Source organism: Homo sapiens, chromosome 2 (genome assembly GCF_000001405.40).
Source record: "Homo sapiens chromosome 2, GRCh38.p14 Primary Assembly".
NCBI classification, from domain to species: Eukaryota; Metazoa; Chordata; class Mammalia; order Primates; family Hominidae; genus Homo; species Homo sapiens.
This window is the reverse complement of record NC_000002.12, coordinates 58,022,763-58,036,288: the sequence shown is the minus strand read 5'-3', so window position 1 is coordinate 58,036,288 and position 13,526 is coordinate 58,022,763. Positions and strand designations below refer to the sequence as shown.

Here is a 13,526-nt window from a genome sequence, read left to right as displayed (position 1 = left end):
ATATAGAAAGCCCAAAGTAATATTATTATATCAAAAATACTCCCTTTCCTGGTGGAAAAGGATATACAATACTGCTTCTATTCTACTTCCTATCTACCAGATATATTAGGTGAGAAAAAAGTGTCATACAATTGGGACCACTTCAATAAGCAATTAGATAAAATTAATGGTATATTATGTTGATCTCAGTTCTGAAAAGACCACGCTTTATTTAGCTATCTCAGACATATAAGAAAAAAAATTACTGTTTTTCAAGGATGTTTAAGAGGATGCTTATAAGCCACTCTTAAGAAGTCTTTCTAATGGATAACAACCATAACTAGTAACGGAAGTTCTGTCTTCTAAGATAATTCCCCATTTATATAGTTCAAAAGAACAACTCTATTTTGAGGACAGTGTTTTTTACATAGTAATCTCATTTTATACCCAAATATTATCCCCATTTTCCTATTTCATATTTTCACACATAACGTGGTTGGGTCTCATCTGATGCCACTTCAATTCACTTATAAAATAGAATGATTCTACTGCCCTTTCATACATCATGGAGCTTTGTCTCTTCTCTCCTTCCAAATTATATAGAAGAAGGCTACAAAAATCTTCTGCCCTAGAAGTAAAGTTAGCAATGTTGAATTGATTGGATAAGGGTAATGAACATTCAAATGTCAATATATTGGAGTGAGTCAATAGTGCGAAGTATTTATGACAGTGCTGATTCATTTCATAAGGCTACTCAATCAACTATGAAATGCAAATGTTACTCGAGTCATGAAATGTTCCTCTGAAACTATCTGGACAATCTGTTACAGAATAATTCATGCTACATAGATACTCTTGAGTTTTTAATGTACATAATACTTTCCTGGAATCCAGTTCCAACTCATAACAAAAATAAACTAATAAATAGATAAAAGGCGAAACAGAGAGTAAGGAGACCATAGACTGATGAAGAAATCTCTGAAAACTTCTGGGTAATGTAATGATAAGAGCAGGTTTTTATCTCCCTGCTCCCAAATTCCCATTGAAATGTCCAATATAATATTTTTAAGGGGGAAAGAGGAAAATAATTCTATGGTAGCAACAGAAAGGAAAGATGAATACTGGCCATATGCAGGAAACTTTGGGGGCATTTCTGTTAAAAGTAATACAGATAGGATTATACTGTTGGAAGGCATGGAGTACCCATGTCAAACATCCTCTTCTAGGAAAGCAATGTACCCATAATACAGTAGAGAACATACTAACCAATTAATACCAACACACCTTGAGATTTGGAGGTATTAGGGCTAAAGATAAATCTCAGGCATCATGTCATCAGGAGCACAGCCTCATTTATGTTGACTAAAACGTTTGGACTATATCATATGTTTGCAAGTCCTCATGGGGCAATGACCTGGCACCACTGAATCCAAGAGTGAACCACCAAGCGTTTAGAATAGTACCTAGTGTACAGATGTTCAATAAATATTTTGAAGGAATAAGTGAAGTTTTTTTTTTTGTTTTTTGTTTTTTAAAAAAAACCTCTGGAACCTGGTGTCAGCCTTCCTTTAGCACTGCCTTGAGGAATGAAGAACAAAGATGAGAGATGCTCTCATGCCCTAAGGCCAAGATAAGTTGATGGAATGGAACAGAGGGTAAGATGGAATGGCCAGAAACAGCAATTCAGATTCATTCACTCACTCATATATTCTTTGAGCTTGACTGAAGAGGGAGAATGTAATAAAACAAACCATCCCTGCCTTCTTAAAACTTAGAGCCTTGTAGAAGGAACAGTTGTTAAATAATCACTGAGAAAAACTATAGGATTCTATTAGGAGCCATAATAGGAGGAGCTGATTTCAGTAGTCAGGCAGGATCATGGGAGCAACACTTTGAGGGAGTAACCCTTGAAATAAGACCTGAAAGATGAGGAATCGGTAGCGGGCAAACTGGGAAAGAAAGAACATTTCATGGAGAAAAGGACATATGCAAAGGTCCTGAGGTGGGAAGAAATTTGCTAAGGCCCCAAAACAACAACTGTGAGAGGTGTTAGCAGAAAACGATTCTGAAAGGTAGGCAAAGAACAGACCATACTGAAATTTGTGAGTTTAAGTATTTTTGACTTTTTCCTAAGTAAAATGAGCAACCCACTCTTCCTTAAATAAGAAAATAACATGGTATTATCTATATATTAAGACTAGCTACTAAGAAGAGAATGATTCATAGTGAGAGGTGGCAAGTAGTTACTAACATTTGTAAGCACCTACCTAGGATCCTCAGAAATTATTTGGGAAGCAACTGGATTATCCGTACTTACATTGCATGGGAGCTTGAGTTATTTTATTTCTATGACAAAGGAAAGAGTTGATCTAGACAAGATATATTCTAGTAGGAAATTGTATCAGATTAACAGAAACCATGCCCATTTCTTTTTGGCCATAAAACAAGACAGGGAAAGCACAGATGGCTCTCTGTGGATGACCAAACTGGGGAAAATTACCAGATTTCAGGAAAGATCCTATAGTTTAGACTACATAGCTTCTTTGAAGAATCAAACCTGCCTTCTTTTAAAAATAAATTTGCTGTGATAAGCAGAAAATCCTTCTAGGAAAATTTTGATTCATATAAATGTAAATAACAATTAAAGAGGATATTTTTACTTATGAAACTAAAGGTAGTCTGTATTAATTTACTATTGTTGATTAACAAATTACCACAAACTTAGTGACTTATATGATATAAATTAATTCTCTTACAGTCTGGAGGTCAGAAATCCTAAAATCAAGCTGTCAGCAGGGCTGTGTTCCTTCTTGAGGCTCTAGGGGAGAATTCATTTCTTTGACTTTTCAGGCTTCTAGAGGCCACCTGAATTCCTTGACTTGTGTCCCCATCTTCCATCTTCAAAGCCAATGTTATAACTTCTTCCGGTTTTTCTGCCTTGAACCCTCCTTCTTCCTTCTTAGAAAGCCCCTTGTGATTACATTGTGCCCACCCAGATAATCCAGTGTACTCAGATCTGTAAAGTCCTTTTTGCCACGTAAAGCAACATATTTATAGAGCTTCAAATATTCTTCTTTATGACACTAAATGAGAGAAAGAAAGGAGTGTCAACCACAGAGTTGTAAACAAAATGATGGTGCTTAAAAATTCAAAACACAGTCAAGTTATCCTTATGCATAAAAGCAAACATAGAGATATTTTCAAATACATAAATGTCAGAACACATATGCTATAGACTGAGTGTCTGTGTCCCCCCAAAATTCATATGTTAAATCCTAACACCCAATGTGATGATATGTGATGGTATTTGTGAAGCAGGTTCAGTGTGCACTGGCTACCAACTTATCTGAGTCTTGTGAGACAGAACACCCACACACAACAAATTACGTGAAGCAGATTTGCTACTTACAGATAGGCAGCAAGAGATAGCAGAAGCTAGGATTCATGGTGAGCCAGTTTCCCAAGGCTCAGGAAAGCTGGCTGGGGTGCATAGAATCTCAACTATGCATGTCCCACTTGCACATTAGCAGAGAGACTGCAAAAAGCAGCCAGTCCTGTGTTTCATACTGTGATGTCACATGAGATGCTGAGCTAAAGCACTGAAGGACATTCTATCCTATCCTAAGGGAGACTGGAACAAAGCCTAGGCTGTCCCAGCTAGCACCCCTTTATCTCAAGATTTTGCATTGCCAGCACATTCTACACTTAATTCTTGAGAGGTACAATTGAGAAAGGATGGAGAACTGCGTCAGTCCAAGGCCACCCAGAGAACTGCAGTATTTGCAGGTGGGACCTTTGGAAGATGATCAGATCATAAGGGTGGAGCAGGGTTAGTGCCCCTACAAAAGGGAACACAGAGGGCTCACTTCCCTTTTCTGCCACGGAAGGACACATGCTATTTTATGAACCTGTCAGTGGATCCTCACTAGACAATGAATCTTCCAGTGTCTTGATCTTGGAGTTCTCACCCTCCAGAACTGAATACATTTGAGAAATAAATCTTTTGTTTATAAAGCTACCCAGTCTATGGTATTTTGTTATAGCAGCCTGAGCTGACTAAGACAACATACCGGGACACTTAGATCAACTAAAACCTAGGGAAAAAAACATTAAGTATGAGTAAAAAGTAAGCACATAGCTTCTTTTCTGTCTGTTCATAACCACAACAACTCCTATGGAAGAGATTTTTGTTTCCTGAACCCCTTGAAAGAAAAATTTCTATGTAGAAGTAAGAAATAATTTGGATTTGATTGAGTTTTCTAAGAGTGAGTGAATAGGAAGGAAGACAGAAAGAGAAGACAGATCAACCAGAGAGATGATTTGAAGTTGTGTAGGGTGAAAGGTCATTGTAAGACACTGATTGTGTGATGGACAAAGAATCTGTTAAGAATGATAGTGTCTACTGTTCTACTCAAAGTTGTTTGGATTGTTATAATTTCAATTCCTCTTCTACCTTCCTTCCATTTTTTTCGTTTGTATGAGTGAATGTGTAAATTGAAAAGTCCGTGTTCCACATCTGAGCAGATATGATTCAAATCAGAGATAGCACATGAAAAAGCAGCAATCCAGAGGTAGCTATGAGAACAAAAGCCTCTGAAAGTCCAGAAAATTTTAGGAAGAAGTTTTGAGTCAGTTTTACCTAGATTTTCAGAGAATGGGAAAGATATAAGCTATCATTTGGATTGTAAATTAATTAGGGAAATTACATCTGCTGGACACTGGTGGTGGTAATGATCTGATGTCTACATAATCATTGTAAATATCATTTTAAAGTGTACTTGAATGTTTTCTTTATTTTAACTCTCAACTTCAGTGGTTTATTTTTCTCTGCCCTTACTGAAGCCTATCCTTGAGGGAAAGGAGGAGATTAACAGTCATACTCTTAGTCTTCTTACCACTAAAAAATATATCCCTCCCAAGCTCAGGACATCCTATACTATCCTGAGGGGATAGGGGACACGGGAACAAAGCCTCTCTTCTTCTGATTTTCATAACACCACATTCTCCTAGTGCTCCTTCTGGCCCACTCGCTATTCCTTCTAAGTCTACTTTGCTTAATCTGCTTTTGCTCAGTTGGTACCCACAGTGCAGACACTGGCCAACTTTCACTGAAATGAAAGGTGTGATGAAAGATAGTCACTTACCATTTATTTGTGACATACCACTGCAAACTTAGCAGCATAAAGTAACAAGTATGTTATCATACTCACATATTCTGTGGGTCAGGAGCTTGAAAAGGGCACAGGGAAAATGGCTTAACTCTTTGAGAAGGTGTGCATGCTGGGAGTGACTCACAGCCTAGGAGCTGGAATCATCTAAATGTTTGATCAGTCACATGTTTGGACTCTAAGCCAGACTGATGAGCATAGCTTGGCTTCCTCACAGCATGTCAGCTTCAGAGTGCTGGCACTTCTTACATGGTATCTCAGGGCATAAAGCATGAGTGTTCCAAAGAACACGACAGAAGTTGCATTGCCTCTTCTTACCAGCCTCAGAAGTCATATGCATCACTTTCAACTCCATGCAATTGAAAGTCATATGCATCACTTTCAACCCCATGCTATTACTTGCTTGTAATCACAAGCAACTAACAAGCCCACCCAGACTTAAGAAGAGAGGTAGACCCACCTCTGGGTATTATGAAAAGTACAATCTGCCACACAAGTTTTGACCAATCCAGTGAATTTCAAGCTAGTATATTTGCTTTCCTGCTTGATATTTCTACTGGGGTCTAACAGGCATTTCAAATACAACCTGGCCAAACAAGAAAATATGATATTTTTTTGCCCAAGCCAAAGCTTAGGATGATGGCAAGATTGTGAGAGGAAACGAGGTAGAGTGCATTAAAGACATTTTAGATTATTTAAATGAAAGAGAAGGAATTAAAGTCTATACAGCAAAGTATTAGAGACTTACATGTAAAACCCCAAACTATGAAAACCCTAGAAGAAAATCTAGGCAGTACCATTCAGGACATTTAAAAATGATATTTAAAACAAAGATGAATAAATGAAACACCTAAGACATTTAGATTATTTAAAATGATTATTTAGGTGTGAAATTGCTAAGTGTTTTAAGTTAAACTTATTAGATCTGAGGAAAAAGCAGCAATATGTGTGCATATTAATTGAGCAAAACCTTGGTATCAAGCTGATGAGAGCTAAAGGAGGCCTCAGACAATCTAAAATACAGCAACGGCTTTATAATGGGAGAGGTCTTATAGCCATTGAGGATAAGGACAGGCATCATGCCTGAGACCACCTACCAAAAAACTGACTCTGAGGCTAAACTGAGTTGCTAACGTAGATGAAAAGTAAAGTATTGCTGGTAGCAATTAATTTAAATAACTAGCCTCTGAAGATTCTTTAGACTGGACCAGACAAATTCAAACTCCAGGAAAATATGGCATGCCAATAACTCTAGAGTTCAGTAATATTCAGAAAGGGCAAATGACAATGATAAGTGCTGTGTTAGATGTTTCTTTCAGATGGAAATGTGCCTTCTTCATCTAGATACTCAAGGTAATGTAGGATGAGTCAAAGATAAATGTAGACCAGAAGCTCATTAGACCCCAGAGCTGGCAAAGACATTCTGATATAAAAACAGAATAAACCCCCCAAATCATACCAACCTCAATATGACAGGGGAGGGAGTCTATGTCTGCCTCAATGTAGCAATTGGAATAATTTAATCTGGTCATAAGAGATGATTGTGGCTAAGAAAAGAAGACAGAGAGATCTCACAAGTTATGCTAGTCATACTGCTATCTTCCGGTCAAGAGTTTGGTCAATATAGGAGTACTTTTAACTTTTTCTTTAAATGTTAGTGAAAGTTTCTTTTGTAAAAGTCAAACCTTGTTTCTACCTGAGTTGACACAAAGCAAGATGGTACCATCTAAGCAGTGTTAGGAGGAAAATCAGAGCCCTTTAAGAATTTAAGTCCAGTGGTAGACATGAGGACACTGGTTTAAGACAGAAAAGAATGGTGGAAGTAGGCCAAATAGGAAAAAGATGGTGAAGGTAGAAGAAAATTGGAGATGCAAATTATGTTGATCCTTCATGCCTGGAGATTTATCTATTATTTTTTCCTCTCTATTTCATTCATAATACAAATAGAAAATAGCTAATCAGTTTTCATAGAACTCTTTAGGCTTTTCAAGAAATTTATCAAATAGACACCTCACCTGGCTTTTTAGGAATTATTGAATAACTGAACTGCAGTTAGACCTCTCATCTTCCAGAATGTCTAAAGGTATTTTTCTAGAGAGATCAAATTGTTAAGTGTTTTAATATAACTGTCAGAAGTTTTAAGAATCTAGGAATTATTCTATTGGCTTATTCTTCCTAAGAAACCACTTCTCTTCTAAATATATATATATATATATATATATATATATATATATATATTTATTTATTTATTTATTTATTATACTTTAAGTTCTAGGGTACATGTGCACAATGTGCAGGTTTGTTACATATGTATACATGTGCCATGTTGGTGTGCTGCACCCATTAACTCATTATTTACATTAGGTATATCTCGTAATGCTATCCCTCCCCACTCCCCCAACCCCACAACAGGCCCCGGTGTGTGATGTACCCCTTCCTGTGTCCAAGTGTTCTCATTGTTCAGTTCCCACCTATGAGTGAGAACATGCAGTGTTTGGTTTTTTGTCCTTGCGATAGTTTGCTGAGAATGGTGGTTTCCAGCTTCATCCATGTCCCTACAAAGAACATGAACTCATCATTTTTTATGGCTGCATAGTATTACAGTGTGGTGATTCCTCAGGAATCTAGAACTAGAAATACCATTTGACCCAGCCATCCCATTACTGGGTATATACCCAAAGGAATATAAATCATGGTGCTATAAAGACACATGCACACATATGTTTATTGCAGCACTACTCACAATAGCAAAGACTTGGAACCAACCCAAATGTCCAACAATGATAGACTGGATTAAGAAAATGGCCACTTCTCTTCTTTATATTCCTGACCCTTGATGTAGAGCTGTAGTAAATAGAAACTATAGATAAGACCAGGAAATTATGTTACCTCTTGTCACTCTTAAGTGTCACCTCTTTCTGGGAGCCCTGGAGTACAAACCATTAAATCAGGATCAATACAAGTCCCAAGATAAAAACAGTTTTCCTTGCGCTCTATCCTAAAAATAGCTGGCGAGTCCAGGTGCAGTATTCAGACATTTTCCATCTAGATTAAAGACCTAGATTAAGGGATTGTTTGAGTCTATTTTATAACAGATTGTCACTGTCTTTCTTACTAGGCACTTCTTCACTTGAAAGCCTAGGCTGTGGTCTTTCTCCTTCACCAGACAGTTAAACACTGTAGTGTTGGTCACATTTTTCTAAAACTATGTTGTTTATCCACATTCAATTCCTCTTCTTAAGATCTCTCTTTAAAAATTTTGGCTATATTCATGGAAATTTAAATTTCTGTTTGGGATGGACTTTGTTCCCCCTTTATTACTGTCACCATTCCTATTATTCTCTTTGGCCTCCCATGCTGGACACTTATACTTCTATAAATCTTATAGATGGAGCTGGTATTATTTTTCTAGTTTGAAACACTTGTAATAAAGTTATGTCATTATTTCTATCTTTATAGGGGCCAATAGTTACATACGTTGACTCAGAAGTACAAAAAAGTAATTTTAATTTATATAGTTGACTAACTTTATAATTGACTTTTTAAACTCTGCAGTCCCCCTTTCCACCAATCCACCAAGCCCTTTCCAACCCTTTTCACCACTGCCCTCCATTACTACTGCTAACATGAGAACCAACAAAATCATATATTTGTTAAGTAGGGAAAATCCTGCTTTCTGCTGTTTAAAAGGCTCCTATAGGTATATATTCATTCAATTTAGAGGTTATACTATCAATCAGGGCTGTTTTTCTACTCCATAGAAGTCTTCTTACCACTATCCACCCCTGATCCTTTTCCCTGGATATAATTTGAATACCTGTGGAAACTTGCATATGACCATAGGGTTGGATGGCAAGGCATTTAGTCCCTGGATTCTCACTGGACTCCAGTGAGATTTTTTCTCATTTTGCTGAGTCACTGGGTAATCTGGATTGATGCCTTTAATTTTGGAGTACTATGGGATGGAACACTAGATTATTAGGAAGGGAGATGGTTAAACAGAGAAGGGCACCCTTAGTTTGAACAAAACACTACTACTACTCAACTTATTATTACTTTATTTAAATAAAAGTTTAAAATTACTCTTTAGTTAGCCATGGCTTGGCTAAAAACTGTTAAAGTTGGCTGGGCATGGTGGCTCAAGCCTGTAATCCCAGCACTTTGGGAGGTCAATCACGTGAGCCCAGGAGTTTAACACTAGCCTAGGCAACAAAGTGAGATCCCATCTCTACAAACAAACAAAAAAAAAAAAGAAAAGAAAAAAAGCTGTGTGTGCATACCTGTGCTCCTAGCTACTTAGAAGGCTGAGGTGAAAGGATTGCTTGAGCCAAGGAGGTTGAGGCTTCAGTGAGCTGTGACCATGTCACTGGACTCCAGCTTGGGTGACAGAATGAGACCCTGTCTCAAAAAAACAAAAACGAATAAACAAAAAAACTGCTAAAGTTTATAGATTCATATTCCTTCAGCAGTAAACAAAGAAAGATTTCCCTTTCGATGCCAGCCTATGAGAAAAATAAGGTTATTAAATGGTACTTTATTCCATTAAGGTCAATACATTCTAAAAATAAAACAGAACCATACTCTTTTAAAATGCTACACGTGCCAATACTGACACGCTTCATCTAAGAATTCCACATTATTTGGGAACCTGCTTATTTTTCATAATTGCATATTCATAGAAAGAGTAATTGTGTATATGTAGTTGTCAGGAGTCATATTAACTTTTCTTAGTTAAACATATAGGATGTTCTCATGCTATAGAAATTATTTACATAAACTAGATACTGCATTGTCTCCCTCTCTCATTCCCTCACTTTCTCTTTCTCACACATGTGCACATGTGTGTGTGCGCGCGCACACACACACAATTAGTCTCACTGGCAACACTTGTTCTTAGGTAACAGACATTCCAATAAGCTCAGCAATTCAAAGATTTTCTATTATTCTCTTAGAAGGGACAATGTGCTAGGCAATTTTCACTTTGTACATCTCCATTATGCAATGGAACAAGTGAGACAGAGTACAATGTGAGACAGAGTACATTGAAAGAGGGAAGACTTGGAATAGTTGAAGTATTAAAATCCCCCAGTAGAGTCACATTTCATTTCATTAACACATAGTTTTATAGAACATTATTTAATGCATAAGGAGTAGTCATCTGTACTGAAATCACAGAGACCATTATATATTGATGAATAGCTTTGTACACCTTATAAATTAGATGAAAAGAAACTAGGAGTATGGGAGCAAAAGTTAGATAAAGGAAGCACTACTGAGAAAGGCTAAACAGGAGTCGGTAATCTGCAAAGGTCAAGCAAAAGGTTTTGAGTGTCCTTAGCAGAAGCTTACCTTTTCTATAAAGGCCACCCACCTGGCATCTTTTCTCTGGTAAACTGAACCAACCTTGATATACACCAAGAGAAAGCATTCCAAAACAGAAGGGCATCCTTAAGCCATCTTGGGGATTCATTCCATTTCTGAAAAATAAGTTCAGGCCACATTTCTTGGTTCTCTGTCAGAACTAAGTCAGACAATAAGATAATTTGTGGCTTATGAATGAGCAAAATTTATAAAATAACCTTGAGCAACAAACATAAGGTAGATAAAAGACATTTAACTTAAAATGATTAAAATATAGCAGACATTTTGATTAAAATGAAAACTAGCCTATGATTCTCTTCCTTTGTCTGGCTGTTTACTTAGGGATTTCTCCAAAATTGGCCTTTGAATTCTTCTTAAGAAGCCAAAAAGAAGAAGGAAACGACTTTCTCAGTCATAGCAATAGTAATGGCTTACCACATAATGAGCTATCAGTATATGGCAGGCCCAGTTCTAATTGCTTTATAGATATTAACTAATAGTTAAAAAAAAAAAAAATATGAGCAATGCCTTTTCTTGTGCCTATTTTACAGTGAATCAGCCTGAGGATCTGAGCAGTTTAGTTATCTGCCTAAGGTCACATATCTTGGAATAAGCAGAGACAGGATTTGAACCTAGGAAGTTTAACTATAGAATCTGTGCTATTAGCCACTCTACTAAACTGCATATGGTGTTCAGTGCAACATGGGATTAAGGACAAGGATGGCTCAACTAAAGAATGACCATATGAAGCGTACTTTGCCCACAAGAGAAGCCTTATCACATAGCCATTCTCTCTTTATTCTACAAATTAACCCCCATGTGTAAAAGCAATATCTGTCATCCATATTTACATTTGGTTTCTGGTAAAGGTTTTTTCCTTTATATTTGAATTTCTTTTGATAATGTTTAGCCCCCAAAATGATGGATTCTTCTCATAAAATTGCTCTCACACTAACCAATTAAATTTAGCATCTTCAGCATGCATTATTACTTAAATATGATGTGACATCTTAAGAGCTTAGTATTGTAGGAGTCGATTCTTTATGATAGCATCAAAACTTTGAAATAAAATGTCTTAAGAGGTTTTGGCCCTTACATGGGAGGTAACAGATTTGCTCTAAATGGATCTGTGGATAGGCTGGCTAGAAATAAAGTTGGATAGGCCCAATTTTAGGACAAACAATTCCAAAATAAAATATCAGGAAGGCCACAATTCTCTTTTCCACCAAAAATAAACAGTATTGTTAAAGCCAGTGGGAGTTTCTTCTCAATGAACTGCTGTTAACTATTACAAATTAACTGAATTTAGAGTTCCACTACTAATTGAGGTTTTACTCACTTAAGTAGTTTAATTATTTTAATGTAATAGCACCCCCCCAAAAAAACTTCTATTAATTCCTTATTTATTTATTTTCTAATCCTGTCATATCTACCTCTAAATTGGAAATATTTGCCACTGAACCCTCAACCTATTTACAAGTGTAAATTGTGGTTGTGAAACCTAAGGCCGATTCACAGAAACTATAATTTCAGCCTAAATACATGTTTATTTCAGGACTGCTCTCCTCTCTCCTCATCTTTGTACTTTTCCTGGGAGTCAAAAATATTTTTTGTACTTTTAGTAGAGACAGGATTTGGTGGCCGGCGCCTGTAGTCCCAGCTACTTGGGAGGGAGGCTGAGACAGGAGAATGACGTGAACCCGGGAGGCGGAGCTGGCAGTGAGCCATGAGCTGAGACAGCGTCACTGCACTCCAGCCTGGGCTACAGAGTGAGACTCCGTCTCAAAAAAAAAAAAAAAAAATTCTTACCAACTAGTTATTGTTCATCATTAATACTCAATTGTGTGATTACAAACTTCTTTCCTTTTTTTAGTAAATCTCTATATTTAGATAGTTTGGTAGTGAGCATGACCACTCCTCTCCAAAGCTTCTATATTGATTCTTTAATGATGTTCAGGTGCTGTTTCCAGCTGACCCATCTTAGCAGCTCTGATTATACTAATTTTTTCATACATATCTTAAAGGCCTAGAAACAGAAATCTTTGATTTCTAATGTGTATCTTTGACTGCTATCTAAAGACGAAGACAGAAACATCAAAGGAAATGGTAAGCTTTGGGGATTTCCTTGATTTCACTTTCAAATTGATGATCATTTTAATTGCAGACATTTTATTTTAATTTGTTAGCAATTTTTAGGCAGAGGGTAGGCTTTCAAAAAATACATTTACTATTTTTTTCCTTCAAAGATAACCTTTCAGATTTGAAGGCAGAGATTTGTACAGATATATATATACATATATACGGATGTTCATAGCAACATTACTCACAAAAGCCAAGAAGCAACCAAAGGGTCCATTGACAATTGAATGGAGAAACAAAATGTAGTGTGTATGTATATAGAAATTTTGTTATATGCACACATACAAACACACACATATACACACAATGGAATATCACTCAGTCTTGGAAGAAAATTCTGATACGTACTACAACAGGGATGAACATTGAAGACATGCTAAGTGACATAAGCCAGTCACAAAAGGACAGATACGGTATGATTCAACTTATTTGACGTGCCTAAAGTAGTCAAATTCATACACACAGAAAGGAGGTTGGTAGTTGCCAGAGTATGTGAGGAAGGGATATGTGGAGTTATTCTTTAATGGCTACAGAGTTTCAGTCTGGGAAGATGAAAAAGGTCTCGAGATGGTTGGTGGTGATGTTGCAGAACAATGTGAATGTGCATAATGCCACAAAACTATACTCTTTTGAAATGGTTAAAATGCTAACTTTTATGTTATGTATATTTTACCATAGTAAAACAACCTCTGTAATTATTTAAAAATATCTCTTGATATCTATCCTACCTTCCAGTACGTAAACTTCCTCATATTTTTTTCTTTTTTGAGTCAGGGTCTTGCTCTGTTGCCCAGGCAGAAGTGCAGTGGTGTGATCTTGGCTCACTGCAACCTCTGCCTCCTGGGTTCAAGCAATCCCTCAGTCTCAGCCTCCTGAGTA

At 36.8% G+C, this 13,526-nt stretch overlaps 1 protein-coding gene across 2 annotated transcripts in view; it reads right to left on the bottom strand.

The window, feature by feature from the left end:
* Positions 1-13,526, bottom strand: part of VRK2 (VRK serine/threonine kinase 2) — a 252,329-nt gene that overhangs the window by 123,632 nt on the left and 115,171 nt on the right. Inside the window, exons 2-4 of one of the 2 annotated variants that reach the window (NM_001288837.2) lie at positions 10,519-10,624; positions 9,428-9,545; positions 2,736-3,062 (exon numbers count right to left, since the gene is read on the bottom strand). The gene's annotated coding sequence lies outside the window, so the exon portion shown is untranslated. The remainder of the gene's footprint in view (positions 1-2,735; positions 3,063-9,427; positions 9,546-10,518; positions 10,625-13,526) is intronic. The other variant, NM_001288838.2, reaches the window with a different exon arrangement.